We start from the raw sequence: 18,815 nt of genomic DNA, 5'->3' as shown, positions 1-18,815 counted from the left end.
GAGTTTACCAGGTAAATACCCCAGCCTATATACTCAAAATTTGAGAGCAGGATCAAAGAGAGCAGGGTTCTCTTTTCCAGTACTTGGACTATTTGCCAGATCCTTTCCAAATTGTATCCCTTTTGTTGAGAGGGGGAAGTACATGCAAAAGCTAAAATGCATAATCCAATTTACTCTATATGATCCAGCTTACAAGCACAAATAAGGAAAGAGTTTATAGTCTTGTTGAAATGCCTTGATAGAGAGGAAATTGTATACAGTGGAAACCTAGAGGAGGTAGTTAGCATAAGACCTCCTGAAGAGGAGTGGTTTTTATAAATAAACTGATTGTTAAGAGAAGGCAAAAGCTGGTTAGTAAGGAAGCTAAGGGAAGGCTTTTGTGATGATTCTAAAATTTTATTAACCCAAATGTTTGTATCTATCGATTGATTACGCTTCTCTTTCCTTTGTTATCTACGACAGTAGATCTCTGTAGATCTTTTATTCTGGTAATGTTTTCAAAAGGACTCTATGTTCTTTGTGAAAATGTCAGCATTAGAAGTTTAGAAGTTTCAGTTGTTTATGCTTACTTAAGACGGTTTAACCAAACATTGTGTCCAGTCCCCTCATTTTACACATAGAGAAGCTAAGGTCCAAATAAGCTGTGATACACTTAATGTCAGATACAGTAAGCATCAGACCTGGGACTTGGCTTGGCTATTGGTCATGGTTTCTGTCCTGAATCTCTAGTTGAAAAATGCATGAAGGTTACTTATGGTTTAATAATAAAAATAATTTATGTTTCCATTTGCTGTTTTTCTTCATTGGCTTTAAGAGAGAAGTGATTGAGGAAATATGAAGTAATAGAAATATTTGACATAGTCTTATGGGCAATAACTTATTTAGGTAAAACATATGGAACCTTTAATTGAGAAGGTTCAGCTTTCTAAAGGGGAGTCACTTAATTTCAAAAGATGTTTATGTACATGTTTATGTTTCTAATGTATAATATAGTGGAAAGACAGCAAATTTAATAAAAAGCCTTATTCTGTGAGGTAATGTTGGCAATAGCACTTGTAAGCTCAGATTTATTCATACATTCTTCCTTTAACTGGCCTTTTAACTGAAGTAAAATTGATGGGAAAAGCATCAAGTTATGGAGAGTTTGGAATTGGGATGCCTTTGGTTGACTGTGATTATCATAATGTATTTCAACCTTGAAACTGAGCCCTGGATGACAGAGGAAAGCAGCCGAGACAAAAGAAAATGCCAAAGACAAAGTAACCTTCAGCCAGTCTATAAAAGGAATGATTAGGCAGTTCAAAACGTAAATGCCAAATTTTATCACATGGCCATTTCCTGGGATTTTAAGTGATTATAACTATTCTTTCTCTGGAACTAGAAATACACTTTAATTCTGATTGGCATAGGAAAGTATCCTGCATCTATCAGCCTTTTTCTAGTTGCCTTATCCAGGAAATAGTGTATGCAGGTAAACCAAATAATTTCTGAAAAACAATGCAAGTGTTATAAAAGTGAAAGGACAAAAGTATTCTCAGAATTTCCATAGTTATGTCCAAAGGAGGGTTTAGAACTTGAATTGTTTAAGAGGTCTTACTGAGTCCTTTAAACTCTTAGTCCTTTAAACTCTTCCTGACTAATTAGTCTTCCTCCATCATCTTTCTTAATATACTTTTAAAAATTCAGGACTGAAAAGAGAAATGACTAAGCAAAAATGCACGTTAACTGCCATTACAAGGAGAGCAAAACGGGTTGTGCCATATGTACTAATCTTTGCTAGTAAGAATAACCTACAGTGTATATAAAATTTGGGTTTTATATGTCTAAGTACCTTTCATGTTCTGAAATTCTTGCCATGACCCTAATCTATTATTAAAAGTAATGGCAAAAGCCACAATTGGTTCTGCAGTAACCTAATAGTCAGCCTTACATGTCCGTGGGTTTCATATCTGTGGATTCAACAAACCACAGATTAAAAATATTTGAAAATAAAAAATAGCAACACAATAATAAAAATAACACAAATAAAAATACAGTATCACAACTATTTACATAGCAAGTAATCCAGAGATGATTTAAAGTATGCGGGAAGATGTGCACAGGTTATATAAAATACTATGCCATTTTATGTAAGGGACTTGATCATCTGCAGATTTTAGTGTTCACAGGGGTCCTGGAACCAATTCCCCACAGATAATGAGAGATAACTATAGCACGGAGACTGTACTGTTCTCCCCATGTCCTACTCATTCTCTGTTTTATTCCACCCTATCCACCAGTCAGATTAATTTCCAAAAAACTCCATAGTAATTATCTCTTCTTTTGTCCTGGTCAGGAACTTTTAGTGGCTCCTCATTACATATGTAATTCAGTCTGAGCTCTGGTTCTCTAAATACCTTTCCACCCCTCTTTATAGACCTTCGCCTCTGGCCAATTTTGTTCCCTTAATATCCTTTAGCTGCTATGTGGACTTTCAGTTGTTCCATGCCCCTAATAAAATTTTATCAAATGACTTAATTTCTCTGCTCTTTTGTTTCCTTGTTGTTATATGGAGGACAGTGGATTTAATGGCCATTATATTTGTTTAGTGATTTCTAATTTATTCATAATTTTTCCATATATTGTTATATTATCCCTCCATCTCTCCCTCCCACCCACCCTCCCTCCCTCCCTCCTTCCGTCCCTCCCTCCCTTCCTTCCTTCCTTCTTCCCTCCTTCCTTCCTTCCTTTTTTTGAAACAGGGTCTTGCTCTGTTGTCCAGGCTGGAGTGCAGTGGCTCAATCTCAACTTACTATAGCCTCAACCTCCTGGGCTCAAGAGATCCACCTCAGCTTCCCAAGGAGCTGGGACTACAGGCACACACAAAGATGCCTGACTAATTTTGTTTACCTTTTGTAGAGATGAGGTCTCACTCTGTTGCCCAGGCTGTACTTCATCTTTGTGCCCTTTACAGTAATGCATGCAGGAATGATCCACATTGTACAGATAGGAAACCTCAAGTCCAAGTAGGCTAGGTGATTTGTATATGAAAGTTGTTCTAAAACTTTTTAATCCCAGGAAGTACCATTTACAATAGCACTCCCAAAGATGAAATATTTAGGTGTAAATGAAAGAAAATGTATACAGGATTGGCCAGGTGTGGTGGCTTATGCCTGTAATCCCATCACTTTGGGAGGCCGAGGCAGCAGATCACGAGGTCAGGAGATGGAGACCATCCTGGCTAACACAGTGAAACCCCATCTCTACTAAAAATACAAAAAAATTGGCCGGACGTGGTGGCGGGCACCTGTAGTCCCAGCTACTCGGGAGGCTGAGGCAGGAGATGGTGTGAACCCAGGAGGCAGAGCTTGCAGTGAGCAGAGATCGCGCCACTTTACTCCAGCCTGGGAGACAGAGCGAGACTCCGTCTCAAAAAAAAAAAAAAAAAAAAAAAATGTATACAGGAGCTAGGAGCTACAGTTAGAAAACTGTAAGGCACTGATAAAAAATATACGTACAGATATCTATAGGTGGAAAACTACAATGCACTAATCAAACAAGATCTAAAGAAATGGAGAGAGATTCTGTGTTCATGGATTGAAATAATATTGTTGTGATGTCAGTTCTTTCCAATTTGATCTATAGACTTGACACAGTCCCAAATCAAAATCCCAGCAAGCTATTTTGTAGACGTCAACAAACTGATTCTAAAGCTCATAAGGAAAGCCAAATACCTAGTATAGTCAGTGGAATACTGAAGAAAATTGGCAAAGTTGTAGTACTCACACTACCTGGCTTACTGTAAGGCCACGATAATCAAGATACTATGGTGTTGGTGAAAGAATAGACACATAGATTAATAGAACAGAATGGAGAGTCTAAGATAAATTCACATGAATATAGTCAACTGATTTTTAACAAAAGATGACATTTTCAATAAATGGTGCTGGAACAATTGGATGTCCATATCCAAAACTGAACCTAGACACAGACCTTATAATTTATGCAATAATTAACTCAAAATGGAGCATAGACCTAAATATACAACATAAAACTTATTGAGGAAAACATATATGATACTGGGTTTGGTAAAAGATTTTAAAATACAACATCAGAATGATACATGAAAGAAAAATATTGGTAAGTTGTGACTTAGTTAAAATTTAAAACTTCTGTGAAATACTCTATTAAAAGAATGGAAAGACAAGCTATAAATGGGGAGAAAATATTTGTAAAACACTTATATAACACTTGAATCCAAAATATACAAAGAACTCTTAAGACTCAACAATGAGAAAATAACCCAATTTAAAAATGGGCAGAAGATCTGAAGAGACACCCCATCAAGGAAGATAAGCAGATGGCAAAATTAGCACTTAAAAAGATGGTCAACATTGTGTGTCATTAGGGAATTGCAAATTAAAACAATAATGTGGTACCACTACTCAGCAATTGGCTGAAATTCAAAACACTGACCAAATTCTGGTGAGGATGTGGAGTAACAGGAGTAACAGGAACTCTCATTCATTGCTGGTGAGAATGTAAAATGTTACAGCCACTTTGGTGGCAGTTTCTTATAAAACTAAACATGATCATACCATGCAAATCAGCAGTTATGCTCTTAGGTATTTACCCAACTAATTTGAAAACTTCTGTTCACACAAGACCTGTACACAAATGTTTGTAGCAGCTTTATTTATAATTACCAAAACTGGAAGCATCCAAGATGTCCTTCAGTAGGTAAATGGATAAACTGTGGTACATTCATATAGCGAAATATTAATCAGTACTAAAAAGAGCTATGAAATCATGAAAAGACATGGATGAATCTTAAAAATGCACATTGCCAAGTTAGAGAGATCAGCCTGAAAATGCTCTGTGAGTCCAGTTATATGACATTCTGGTAAAGGCAAAATTAGAGAGTTGGTAAAAAGATCAGTGGTTGCCAGGGACTTGGGAGCAAGGAGTTGATGGGAAGGTTGAATAGATGAAAAACCAGGACTTTTTTAGGGTGATAAGTATGATACTGTGATGATGAATATAAGATATTAAGCATTTGCCAAAACCCAGAGAATTTTATAGCAGAAAGAGTGGATCTTAATGTGTACAAATTTTTGAAAACTTATTTAGGAGGTCAGAGTTTCCAGGATGGAATGCAAAATGTGGCAAAAGAGTCTAAATGTATTATAAATGTATCCAATAATCTCACTGAAGGGAGTGAAGAAACAAGTTGCTAATCTAAGTAACTTTGGAAATGAGTGGCATCTGTATGACTGTTTAGTCTTACCGTACTTACTTTAAACTAAAGGAACTATGCATAAGCCCTGTACTCTACTGATAAAGTTCTGTCCCATGGGGAACAAGGTATGGATTAATAATGTTGAAATTACCATGCATGTATACTGGAATTGAACAATTAAGAAAATGGGTGGCAGTTGTTAGAAGCCACGTTTTTCACTGTTGTAGTGTTGGTTACAGGTAAGCAATGAGAGGCTAAAATGATCCATGTGGTAATGGATTCATGTTGGAGACATTGATATGAACTCATTTAGCTTAATGTATAGATACACATGGTTGCATATGGAAATGTTTATAGATATATGTATATGCACAGGTTAGTGTACATATTTACAATGTACACTAAGTCAATGTGTACTAGAAGCAATGAAACTCCAGTAGCAATTATCATACCTAGTCCTCAGATCTTGGGGAGTAGAAGTCAGGGTTATCCAATGTTAGGAATCAGGATTCCTTGGAGAAGTGGCTGATTCTAGCCCTGGGGTAGGAAATATACAAGATGTATGGAGCCTCCGGAGTGACAGAAAATAAGAAAGTACTCAAAAAAACAAAACAAGACACAACGATAGGAGTATGTCAAGGGGACACAGGAGCCAACTGAAAGTTCTTCAATGACCAAAGCTGGAACAGTTTGAGCAACAAAATAAAAGTATTGTTGGATCATAATCCAATGTATAAAGTAAATATCTACGAATCTTTACTGATATAAACAAATGGTTGATGTTGACCTTGGGAGGGAATAGATAAATCTCCCATGCAAAAGAATTCCAAATGATTTACTTAGACATTCCACCCTCAATGGAGTGAGGCAAAACTCTCCACTCCATACATTAGGCTGTTCATAGTGACTTTCCTTCAATGAGTGCAGTACAGAAAGGGTAACATTACAATAGAGAAACCTGATAAATTGTACCTCAAGCCAGATGATCAGGGTCAGCATCAACAGAGATGTCGTGTATCCTTGATATGATATGATGAAAATGACACTTTACCTGTGTGGTTTTTCTCCCCAAAACACATTATCCCAGTCTAATGAGAAATCAAATAAATCACAGTTTTGCAAAACATATGACCAGTAATCCTCAGAACTGTCAAGGTAATAATGATGGGTTGAATGATGATCCCCGCTCCCCTAAGAGATTATGTCCACATCCTAACCTCTAGAACTTGTGAACGTGATCTTATTTGTAAAAAGTGCCTCTGCAGATGTCTTTACATTAAGGATTTTGATATGATGATCATCCTGGATTATCTATTGGGCTCTAAATCCAATGAGGGGTGTCCTTATAAGACACAGAAGATAACAGGCAGAGGAGAATGCCATGTGAAGTCAGGCAGAGATTAGAATGATATAGCCACAAGCAAAGGGATCCCTACAGCCACCAGAAGTTAGAAGAGTCAAGGAATGATTCACCCCTAGAGACTTCTAAGAGAGTGCAGCCCTGCTAATTACTTGATTCTTTGATTTCTCGTCTCTAGAACCATATAAAAATAAATAAATTTCTGATCACTTGAGGTCAGCAGTTCAAGACCAGCCTGGACAACATGGCAAAACCCCATCTCTACTAAAAAATACAAAAATTAGCTGGGCATGGTGGCACATGCCTGTAATCCCAGCTACTCTGGAGGCTGAGACAGGAGAATCACTTGAACCTGGAAGGCGGAGGTTGCAGTGAGCCGAGCTTGCACCACTGCACTCCAGCCTGGGTGACAGAGGGAGACTCCATCTCAAAATAAATAAATAAATAAATAAATAATTACTGGTTTTTTAAGCCATCAAATTTATGGTAATTTGTTATAACAGCCACAGGAAACGAATACAGTCATAAAAAACAAGGAAGGTCTGAGAAACTGTCACAACCAAGACTAGCCTAAGGAGAATAAATGTAATGTGATGCCCTAGATAGGACCCTGAAACAGAAAAAGGGCATTAAGGAAAAACTGAAGATACCTGAATAAAATATGGACTTTAGTTAATAATGTATTTATATTGTTTTAGTAATCGTGACAAAGGTATCATACTAATGTAAAATGTTCGTAATTGGAGAAACTGGGTGTAGGATACATGGGAACTCTATGTACTATCTTCACAATTTGTCTATACATCTAAAGCTGTTCTAAAATAAAAGTTGTATTTTTAAAAAAAGAAAGAAAAGGAATAGATACCTTTCCTGGGAATAAAATGAAACCAGAATATTCCACCCCTCAAAAGCAAGAGTTTTCTTACTTTGGCAATTATCTGTTGGAGGAAGCCTGCCTACTAACAGTACTCCTCTCTTCCTCAAACATCCTGTAGTCAACCTTGCTGTTCAAGGCAGATGAGACCATTGGGAAAACAGACCTCTTCAGCTACAGCAGAAGTCAGTGCAGTTATTCATTCTAAACAAATTAGCCCTTTGGCTTTCGTATTACTGACCTTCCTTCCTGAATAATTCAGTCTAAAAGTTTTAAGACAGGGCCCAGGAAGGTGTAGGTGCTAGGGTTTCTTGGACAATGACTGATTCTAGGGCTGGGACAGGGAAAGCATAAGACAAGATGTGCTGGACACATCTCCCTGTACCAGAAAGTAAAGTAGAGCTCGAAGAATGAGGGGATTATATCTAAAGGATGCAGAAGCCACCTTGAAGGGGCACTCACTGGCCAATTCTTGAACAGTTTGAGCATCAGACTAAATAGTCATACTATCAAATCGTAGCTCTTTGAATAAAATAGGAACTCATGAGACCACAGTGATCTAATAAATTAGTGGGGAGAAGAAAAGGAATAATGGAAAGATCACCATTTGCCAATTATTGTAATCAGTGATCTTTCTAATTCCATGATTCCTAGCTGATAGGATGCAGTGAGGAACACAGCAGCATTTCTATGACACTTCTTTCAAAAATGCATAACTGAAATCTAATTTGGAAGAAAAGAGAATTCCAAGTTGAGAGACTTTCTACAACATACCCAGTGTGTAATGTTCAAATTCATAAAGATTATGAAAGTCAAGGAAAAACTTTAGAACTATTCCAGATTTAAAGAGACTAGACACACTTGACGATTAAATACATCTCATAATACCCTATTGGATGCCTTTGCTACAAAAGACATTAGTGGAATAATTGGTGAAACTTCACAGGCTAGTAATGTATCATTGTTAATTTGTCAATTTTGATGATCGTATTATGGTTATTTGGGAGAATATTTTTAGAGGAATTATAAACAAGTTATTAGGGATGATGGGACATAATGTCAGCAACTTTCAAATTGGGGAAAAAACCATTCTTGAACTTTTCTGTTTGAAATTATTTTTAAAATTAATTTTTAAAGCTTTCAATAAAAGCCATTGTGAGTTGAGTGGATAAGAGGAGACATTCATTAAGAATACATCTGATCAATGAAATATCTCCAGACCTTGAAGAAAATTAAGATATTAAAGGGAAATACTGATGATAAAAAATCAATTCTAGAAGAAAGAGATTGTGGAAAGAATTATTGTAAGAATCTTATAAATAACCTTGGAAACTTTATATTGGGTGAGATTTGGTAGTTATTGCTTTTTGTTGGCCTGTTGCATTGCCAAGTGTGGGAGTGAAAGTTTAGCATCCAGCTGGGTCTCACAGGGATTAGAGGGCAGAGGGCCAACTAGCACCACTTTGTACCCACAAGAGGGTATATGGTAGTGCCAGTTGGCCTTCTCCCCACCTAGGCACCTCTGCCTAGGTGCTGCTTGATGGAGTGGAAGTTTAGCTACCGCTAGGCCCTGGTAACGCTAAGGAAACGGAGAGAAGGGACAGTTTTTTGGAGGTGTAGAAGGAGCTTGATTTTGTACATTAACTTAGGAGAACCTGCCAGAGATGAGGAAAAGAAAATTACACAATAGAATTTATAGAATAAATCCAAGTATACTATTTTCCTACCCCTAAACTATGATCCTTGACATCTCAAGGCCTGTGGACTCTGTGAATAAAAATTTTTAGAAAGGATAATCTTTAAAGCACCATTTAATTTATTATGTTTCGTCCAGCAATTTGAGGCTAGATAAGAAATGTGGTAAGAGATAGTTGTTGGGTCTCCTCAAAGTTGAAATTAAGGATACCGGCCGGGCGTGGTGGCTCACGCCTGTAATCCCAGCACTTTGGGAGGCAGAGGCGGGCAGATCATGAGGTCAGGAGATCGAGACCATCCTGGCTAACACAGTGAAACCCCGTCTCTACTAAAAATACCAAAAATTAGCTGGGCGTGGTGGCGGGCGCCTGTAGTCCCAGCTACTCGGGAGGCTGAGGCAGGAGAATGGCATGAATCCGGGAGGCGGAGCTTGCAGTGAGCCGAGATTGTGCCACTGCATTCCAGCCTGGGCAGCACAGCGAGACTACCTCTCAAAAAAAAAAAAAAAAAAAAAAAAAAAAAAAAAAAAAAATTAAGGATACCAAACAAAAGAAGCTATAGGACTTTTTTTTTTCATTAATAATAAAGATCAGAGGGCAGATTATTTGCTGTGACTTGACCTGAAATACTGTGACATTCTTTTTTTTTTTTTTTTTTTTTTTTTTGAGACGGAGTCTCGCCCTGTCGCCCAGGCCGGACTGCAGACTGCAGTGGCGCAATCTCGGCTCACTGCAAGCTCCGCTTCCCGGCTTCACGCCATTCTCCTGCCTCAGCCTCCCGAGTAGCTGGGACTACAGGCGCCCGCCACCAAGCCCGGCTAATTTTTTGTATTTTTAGTAGAGACGGGGTTTCACCTTGTTAGCCAGGATGGTCTCGATCTCCTGACCTCATGATCCACCCGCCTCGGCCTCCCAAAATGCTGGGATTACAGGCGTGAGCCACCGCACCCGGCCTTTTTTTTTTTTTTTTTTTGAGGCAAAATCTCACTCTGTTGCCAGGCTGAAGTGCAGTGGCGCCATCTTGGCTCACTGCAACCTCTGCCTCCCGGATTCACACGATTCTCCTGCCTCAGCCTCCTGAGTAGCTAGGATTACAGGTGCGTGCCACCATGCCCAGCTAATTTTTGTATTTTTAGTAGAAATGAGGTTTCACCAGATTTCACATGCTTACAGATTTTAAAGAGTTTTAGAAACATCTTATTGCACTAAGATAAACTGCCCCATGAGAAATATTTTCATCTGCTTGACCAGTACTATTGATGAGGTGATTGAATTCCTCCAAGGAGGACAAGCTGTTATGTCAGCTGAAGTGACATATGCTTTGGGGAAGAGGCAGTCACAGGTGTTAATAGCGTATACTTTGCCAACACAAGTTTATAAGAAGATTCATTTTTTAAATTTTCAGCTTGGAGTGAATTTGAAATACAAATATTTTACTTCTGTTACTATCAGAGGCAGTGAAAACATTGATTTTAAAGTAGCTGCTATGAAACATATGCTTTTTTCTGTGAATGGCAGTAGTACTTCCTCAGAGCATATATCAAGTCAGCTGCTTCAGGGAGCATTTCACATTCTCTGTGTATCCTGAGACCTAATTTTAGCAAATACAAATCATCTAAACTTGCAAATTCAATTTGATATCCTAACTGGGAATGACAGTGGAGCATAGTCTGAACCTTTCAGATCTGCATATTTTACAGCTGATTACTTCTGATTAAGTCCAATTTTGGTCATTTTAGACTAAACGGGAATTTTGATCTCTGATGTCATAATGTGACAGTGATTGATCTCCTGGGGCATTCTCTAAGCTGTAGTACTTGGTACTTTGGGCCAAAGTTCTGTGTGTGTGCTTGTCCCTCCTTTGTCTCGTTCTCTCCCTATATCCCTTTCTTCATTTTTAATATTTTCTTAATTTTTCAGTGTTAAAAGAAAAATATGGGCCTCTTTAAACATGAGACCTCCTAAGAACAATCCTAGATCATAGTTAATAATCTGCCCTAGGATAAACTCGTCCTCTACCATTTTATTTTATTTTATTTCAATTTTCAGATTTAGATACCTGCATTTTACTTTTTTTTCAATTTGTCATTTATTTTCTTTTATTTATTTATTTTTTTGAGACAGAGTCTCACTCTGTCGCCCAGGCTGGAATGCAGTGGCGTGATCTTGGCTCACTTCAACCTCCGCCTCCTGAGTTCAAGCAATTCTCCTGCCTCAGCCTCCCAAGTAGCTGGGATTACAGATGCCTGCCACCACACCTGGCTAATTTTTTATATTTTTAGTAGAGATGGGGGTTTCACCATGTTGGCCAGGCTGCTCTCGAACTCCTCACCTCAAGTGATCTGCCTGCCTTGGCCTCCCAACGTGCTGGGATTACCGGCGTGAGCCACCTCGCCTGGTCCCATTTATTTATTTTTATTGATACATATTAGATGTACATAATTTCAGGGCATATGTAATAATTCAATATTCATATAATCAAATCTCCTTTACCATTTTAGGTAAGGGTAATTCATGAGCCAAAGAAGATAAGGCATCCTTACCTCTTTATTCCCTAGTGACTCATTTTCACTGTCTACGTTGCTCTCTTAGTGCCTTTCTTTCCCCTCTTCTTTTTAGTTTTTATTGAAAGAAAATAAGGGGAATATTTTAAACAGCAGTGAATCTTTAAATTAATACACTTCCTTTTCCATCTACAAAGTTAAATATTTGAAATAGCTCTTTATATTAAAATACCACTTACATCTTTTAATTTTAGAAACATCAGCACATTGACGTATCATTTCTTGCTTATTCCAGGTACCCAAAATTTTCTTTGTAGAAGAAATATTCACTGTTGAAGCTTTAGCTGATGAAGCTATATGAGCAGATAAAACAGGAAGAGAAACATTCTTTCTCCCCTCGTTTATAAACAAAAATCTATGTAGTTGAAACTGGGTGGATATAGCTATAAAACATAAGCTCATTCTTACTGTTTGGACATGTTTTACTTCTTGTTGAAATAGATGTTCCGCAACTATAAGATAAGAAGTCTGATCCACTGTTTGGAATTTTTCAGTTGATGGTGCATTATGTAATACTGTGTTGGAATTTACTGGCCTACAGTCTTGAGGTAGTGTTTTGCATTAAGATGAATCAGTTTTCAGTATCAAGTAATTCCATGGTAACCTACATGGAAAAGAGTTTCTGCTTAAATGAATCAGAGTATGATGAGGCTTTATTAATAAGGTTGAGATAGTTGAATATTTGAGAAGTGAGAGTTAATTTAAAAGACTTGAGAAAAGACCATGTTCTTCAAAGCATCCGTAGTCCACAAATCTAGTAAAAGTGAAGATCACTTCTCACTGTAATAGTCTATAAGGATTTTTTTTGTTTTAAAATGTCTTTTTTTCTCTTCCTTAGTATTGGCAACTGTTTTATGTTGTATATACCATGCTTATTTTAATATAACACTCTTATAAATGAAGACCTACACAGCTTAGTAAAAACTCAAGAGAACAGGCCATCATGTTATCATTTATAGAACTAGTTCTGACTACCACTGTGGCCTGTGCATATATACATGAGCCATAAGGTCACCCTGAGTGGTACTTTTTATAAGCTTAGTCAAGGTTATTAAAGCCAAAGGGAAACTAATATTCAATGCTTCTACTGTTTTATTTATTACTCGATTTAATTTAGAAGTACTTTAGGACCTTGACTTACATCAGTGCCATTCATCCATTGGTAGTAAATATTAATTGTTGAATTGAGATTTGATGTCAACTGTTCTGTATTAACCCATTTATTTTATTTTTCATATTCTCCTTTTTAAATTGTATATATCATATCATTGCAATGAGAAACCAGATTTATGTTATAAAGCATTTTTTCCTTAATGAGGTATAAATATCAGTTCAGTTAGTTTAGTTTCCTATAGCAATGAAAGAAAAAAGATCAAGTTCAAAAACTCATCTAACCATACATATTATAATGTCCAGCATCTATACTAGGTATTGATAGTGTTTAATTTTTAATTCATATTATTGGTATGCCAGATGCTCTATGCATACTACATAAGACTGCAAATTTCCTTTCAGGACCTGGAAGGGCTGTTGTGTTTATAATGCATGTGTTTATCGCATTTTACACATTTCAATGTGCATTCATATTGTTATATTTCCTTTATTCTCAGAACAACCCTGAGAAATAAATAAGCATTATCTTTTAGGTAAACCAAGGTTCAGGAAGATTGAATGTTTTGCCTAGACAAAAATTCAGACCTCTCGATAACTTGTTAATGTTCTTTCTGAATCTTTACAGAGAGCAGTAAAATGGTATATTATTTCATAATCGTAGATGTCAAACTGCTATACAAATCTTTATTTGCATAGTACTTATAATTTTTAAAATACCTTTTATATTATTTAAATAAAATTATAAAAGCAGAGTTCTTCTGTTATATATTTACTGTAGTTTCCTTTATTAGACTCATACATTCAGTAGACACAAAGTACCTGTGTGTTCTAGGTACTGGATTGGTTGCTAAAGCACAAAGCCAGTCTCAGCTTTCAGAGATCAGGCCATCAAGACACTGTTGTCTTATCCAGCAGATATGGACAGTGTGATATAGGCCAAATTTGCTGAGGGCACTGGAAAAATGCTTTTGTTTCTCCTGTTTTGGGGGTAAATGTGTGACTGGCACTGTCCTTTTTCCTTCCATGAATGCAGAGGTAATGCTTATATCTAAAGCAAACAGCTTTGAAGCAACAAATCAACACACTTAGCAAAAAGATAGAAAGAGCCTTGGACTTGATGACCCCTTCAGCCTCTGTACTAATCCTAGACTACCTACCTCTGGACATTTTGTTTGGGGGGAAATAAAATAATGCCCTGTTTTTTAAAGTCATACATAAATCAGAGCTTCAATTAATTGTAGACAAATATTTTCTGTCTCTATATTTTTTACTTCCTTATAATGGAAATTCAGCATACACTAGACTAGAGAATAATATAACAAATCCACATCACCTAGTTATAATAGTAATCAATATTTAGTTAACCTTTTACATTCTTGCACTTTCTCTCTTAGTAATTATAACTACGTTTAAGTAATTCTATAATAAAAGTGTGTGAAAATACTGTGGAAGCACATGGAAGACTGACTAACGTGGCCAGCGTTGGAGGGGCTTCAAAGAGGAGGTAGCATTGGCAGAAGCTTTAAGGTCAAGTAGAGAATGGAAAGAGCATTTCTAGTGGGAGGACTAACATGTGTAAAGGGTTTTTTAAAGCATGGCATATTCAAAGAGGGGGAAATAGATTACTGTGGCTGGAATATAGTGATTATCAGGTATGAGTGTCAGTATGATTCTAAAAAGATGGCTTGGTGCCAAATCATGAATGGACATATATATCAAAAAATGTGGTGCTTATTACATGGGTACCAGGAAATGAAGAATATGATTAGGTTTGGGTTTTTAAAAGAGAACAGTGGCAGTAACATTTTTGGAGTATGAGATAAAGAGGGAAGGCAGTAAACTGCCAATGGTTCAAGTAATTAGAAAGGCATTTGGTGATAACAGTAGTGGTTTTAGGCAGGGGGAGATAAGTTTAAGAGATAATTCAGGGGAAGAATCAACATGATTTGGTGCCTGGCGAGGATGTGGAGAAGGGAGATAGTCATAGAATGACTTGAATAGATGTGATGATGCCAGGATTAGAGTAATACAGCAGAAGACTGGTTTGGAATAAGGGCATATGATGAGCTTAGTATTTTAAGTTTGAAGTGCTGATAGGTCATTCAGGTAGAGTATTCATTGTGCCAAGTGGAGATATAGAACTGGATCATAAGAGAATCTCACACTAGGGAGTTCTATAACTTGCCTTTCCTGCTACGTATGTCATATGTCACAAGTTCATATATATAAGACTATATATATGTAAGTATTCATATACGTTCATATACATACATAAGTTAATCCTTATTATTCACTAACTGCGTATTTCCAAATTGGCCTACTTCCTAAAATTTATCTGTAATCCCTAAATCAGTACTTACGGTGCTTTTGTAATAATTTGCAGGCACGCTCGGAGTGGTAAAAAAATTTGAGTCACCTGATGTGCAAATTCTCAGCTGTAGTTGGACAAGGTGATACTCTTGATACTCTGCCTTCTTGTTTCGGTTCTTATACTATAAACAAACATCCCTTTTGCAGTCTACTTAATGCCACATTTTTCACATTTTCTGTGCTTTTTTTTTTTGGTAATTTTGCTTTTTTAAGCAAATGGCCCCCAGTGTTGTCCCAAAGTGCTGTGTAATATTCCTAAGTGCAAGAAAGCTGTGATATATCTATGCAAGAAATATGTATGTTAAGTAAGCTTCTCTCAATCATGAGTTATGCTTTCAGCCATGATTTCAGTGTTAATGAGTAAATATATATTAAGTAAGGTGTCTTTAAACAGAAATACAGATAAAACAAGGTTATGTGTTGGCTAGTTGATGAAAATGTTGTGACCAGAGGCTCCTAGAAACCTAACCTTCTTTCCCATTTTCCCTAGAAGCAGTGGTTCAGTGTTCACTAACTCAGTGTTTGTGACAATTTAATGGACCATAACTACCACAGATAACAAGAATCATTGTGTGTGTGTGCATGTGTAGAAAATCTGCTACTCTTTTACAAATAACCCTTATATTTGTACAGTGTAAGCATTAGTCCTAATTTTACTTGAAATTGTGATCACAAGAAATATATAACTCTTTTTTTTTTTTTTTTTTGAGACGGAGTCTTGCTCCGTCGCCCAGGCTGAAGTGCAGTGGCACAATCTCGGCTCACTGCAAGCTCCGCCTCCTGGGTTCACGCCATTCTCCTGCCTCAGCCTCCTGAGTAGCGGGGACTACAGGCACCCACCAACATGCCGGGCTAATTTTTTGTATTTTTAGTAGAGTTGGGGTTTCACCGTGTTAGCCAGGATGGTCTCGATCTCCTGACCTCGTGGTCCACTTGCCTCGGCCTCCCAAAGTGCTGGGATTACAGGCGTGAGCCACCGCGCCTGGCCATAACTCTCTTTTTTAGTGAAAAATAAATGCATACAAGATGAAAACAGTTTGCTGTTTTACACCAGATGGATGATTCCATATTCCTTAAGTCAGAAGGTTTTTCATAAAATGGAATATTGAAGGAGTACAGGTGACATTGACAGCATTTAAATGATCCTCTATAGCACACTTGAGCATAATGTGGTTGTCAGCATCATATTGGTGGGCCGCCAGTTTCTTTTATGGTTGATGTTATTCTCTTTAGCAAGCTTGTAACATTATCAGTCGCTTTTCTCTTAAAGAAATTTATTTTATAATAGTGTTTATGTGTGAGGAGATTTCATAATCGAAGACTAGTGTGTGTGTGCATTTATATCTGTCAATTTGCTTGAATATGACAGCTCAAAAGCATTTTTTAACCTTTCATTCACAAATGTTGGTTCATATCAGTAGGGGTGTTTTAAAATGACAGGTATTATGTGAGAATGAGAATTACCCCTACTTTCTGACATATCAGTGTTATGTTGAAAATTAACATTCAGCTTTGTATCTCACGTTTTACTGTCTGCAAATCTGAAAGCAGGGAATTGGCATTTACAAAGTCAAGGACAAGCCATCATACAACCCCATGCATTGACTGTTACACTTCAAAGTGATTCTGTGCTTGTTAGCATATATCTGTTTCCTAATCATCTTGTTCCTTGGTATAGAAAATATGCCTTTGTTATTGTCTTATATGGCTATATAGTTAAACGCTTAAAATAAAAATGATACAGACCTACATTTAGAGATTCTTCAGTTTGGGGTGGCTGATTTATTTGTGCTGCTTATGTTTCTGACTTGATCTTCTTCTGACTGATTCTGTAGTCTTCTAACTAAGGTATTAGGGTGAATGCTTTCTGTCTTTACTGCAAACAGTAGATTTTATGTCATCAAGAGTAGTTATCCAGCCTGGGTAACAAGGCAAAACCCCATCTCTACAAAAAAAATAGAAAAGAATTATTCAGACATGGTAGTGTGCACCCGTAGTCCCAGCTACCAGAGAGGCTGAGGCGGGAGGATTGCTTGAGCCTGGGAGGTGGAGGCTGCAGTGATCCATGGTCACGCCACTGCCCTCCAGTCTGCCAGTCTGGGCAACTGAGCAAAAAAAAAAAAGAAGAAGAAGCTGGGCAAGGTGGCTTATGCCTGTAATCCCAGCACTTTGGGAGGCTGAAGCGGGTGTATCACTTGAGGTCAGGAATTTGAGACCAGCCTGGCCAACATGGTGAAACCCTGTCTCTACTAAAAATATAAAATTAGCCAGGCACAGTGGCTCATGCCTGTAATCCCACACTTTGGGAGGCCAAGACAGGTGGATCACTTGAGGTCAGGAGTTTGAGACCAGCCAACATGATGAAACCCCATCTCTACTAAAAATACAAAAATTAGCCAGGCATGGTGCTGGGCACCTGTAATCCCAGCTACTCTGGAGGTTGAGGTAGGAGAATCGCTTGAACCCGGGAAATGGAGGCTGTAGTGAGCCAAGATTGTGGACTGCGCTTCAGCCTGGGCAACAGAGTGAGACTCTGTCTCAAAACAAAATTAGCTGGGTGTGATGCAAGGCTCCTGTAATCCCAGCTACTCGGGAAGCTGAGGCAGGAGAATCGCTTGAGCCTGGGAGGCAGAGGTTGCGGTGAGCTGAATCATGCCACTGCACTTCAGCTTGGGCAACAGAATGAGACTCCGTCTCAAAAAAAAAAGAGTAATTATAACAGCATCTTTTTCTCCTTATTTTTGGTAGATGACCTTAGTATTCACTCTTCACATGGAAATACCTCATAGATTTATTCTTCTGCACTATGACTAGTGTATTATCTTAGGTGTTTTGGTTTCTTTCTTTCTTTTTGAGACAGAGTCTGGCTCTGTCGCCCAGGCTGGAGTGCACGATATCGGCTCACTGTAACCTTCGCCTCCCGGGTTCAAGCAATTCTCTCTGCCTCAGCCTCCTGAGTAGCTGGGATTACAGGCTTGTGCCACCATGCCCCACTAATTTTTATATTTTTAGTAGAGATGGGATTTCACCATGTTGGCTAGGCTGGACTCGAGCTCCTGACCACAGGTGATCCGCCAGCCTCGGCCTCCCAAAGTGCTGGGATTACAGGCGTGAGGCACTGCACCCGGTCGTGTATTTAAGTTTAAGGATTGATGCTTTTTAATTATATTGCATTTAGAAAGCAAAGTATTTGCAGTTGAAATCCTCTGTGAATTTAACATCAAGTATACTATATTTTCACTTTCCCTACTTATTTGGAGCAACCTAATGTTCTAGTATTGAAGACTGTTTTGTAAGATTAACCAGCCCTTGACCTAATTGAAATAGAGTCTTATGTTACCTTATTCTAATTTCAGTAAACTATTATGCAATATAGAGATGTGTTATAATTTGAGAATTTTATGTAAAGTTCTTCAGTAAGTGCTAATTCAGTGGGGATACCTTCTTAAACCTATAAGGATGCAGGGAAGTGACTAAAAGATGAAAATATTTCTCTAATATATCTCTAATGAAAGTACAGGATAGTACCTAAATGTCAACTTTGCCATATGGTTTCAGAAAAAAATATTTGAAGGTCTTTGGTGAATTATTGGTTATAGTATCTAAGGCTCTTTATAGGGAT

At 37.7% G+C, this 18,815-nt stretch overlaps 1 protein-coding gene across 34 annotated transcripts in view, besides 1 other annotated feature; it reads left to right on the top strand.

The window, feature by feature from the left end:
• PEAK1 (pseudopodium enriched atypical kinase 1) overlaps nucleotides 1-18,815 on the top strand; it is a 320,261-nt gene that overhangs the window by 113,038 nt on the left and 188,408 nt on the right. Inside the window, exon 1 of one of the 34 annotated variants that reach the window (XM_047433075.1) lies at nucleotides 10,225-10,243. The exons of the other annotated variants lie outside the window; for them this stretch is intronic. The gene's annotated coding sequence lies outside the window, so the exon portion shown is untranslated. Of the gene's footprint in view, nucleotides 1-10,224; nucleotides 10,244-18,815 lie in introns of those variants that run through there. 34 annotated transcript variants of the gene reach the window in all.
• Nucleotides 284-484: a silencer, noted in NCBI's record as "peak2392 fragment used in MPRA reporter construct". NCBI's record gives its function as "represses an SCP1 promoter by STARR-seq MPRAs in K562 erythroleukemia cells {active_cell/tissue: K562}" and the evidence as "EXISTENCE:reporter gene assay evidence [ECO:0000049][PMID:32103011]".

This window comes from Homo sapiens, chromosome 15 (assembly GCF_000001405.40).
Source record: "Homo sapiens chromosome 15, GRCh38.p14 Primary Assembly".
Lineage (NCBI taxonomy): Eukaryota > Metazoa > Chordata > Mammalia > Primates > Hominidae > Homo > Homo sapiens.
The sequence above is the reverse complement of the archived record's forward strand: the minus strand, read 5'-3'. Positions and strand labels throughout refer to the sequence as shown.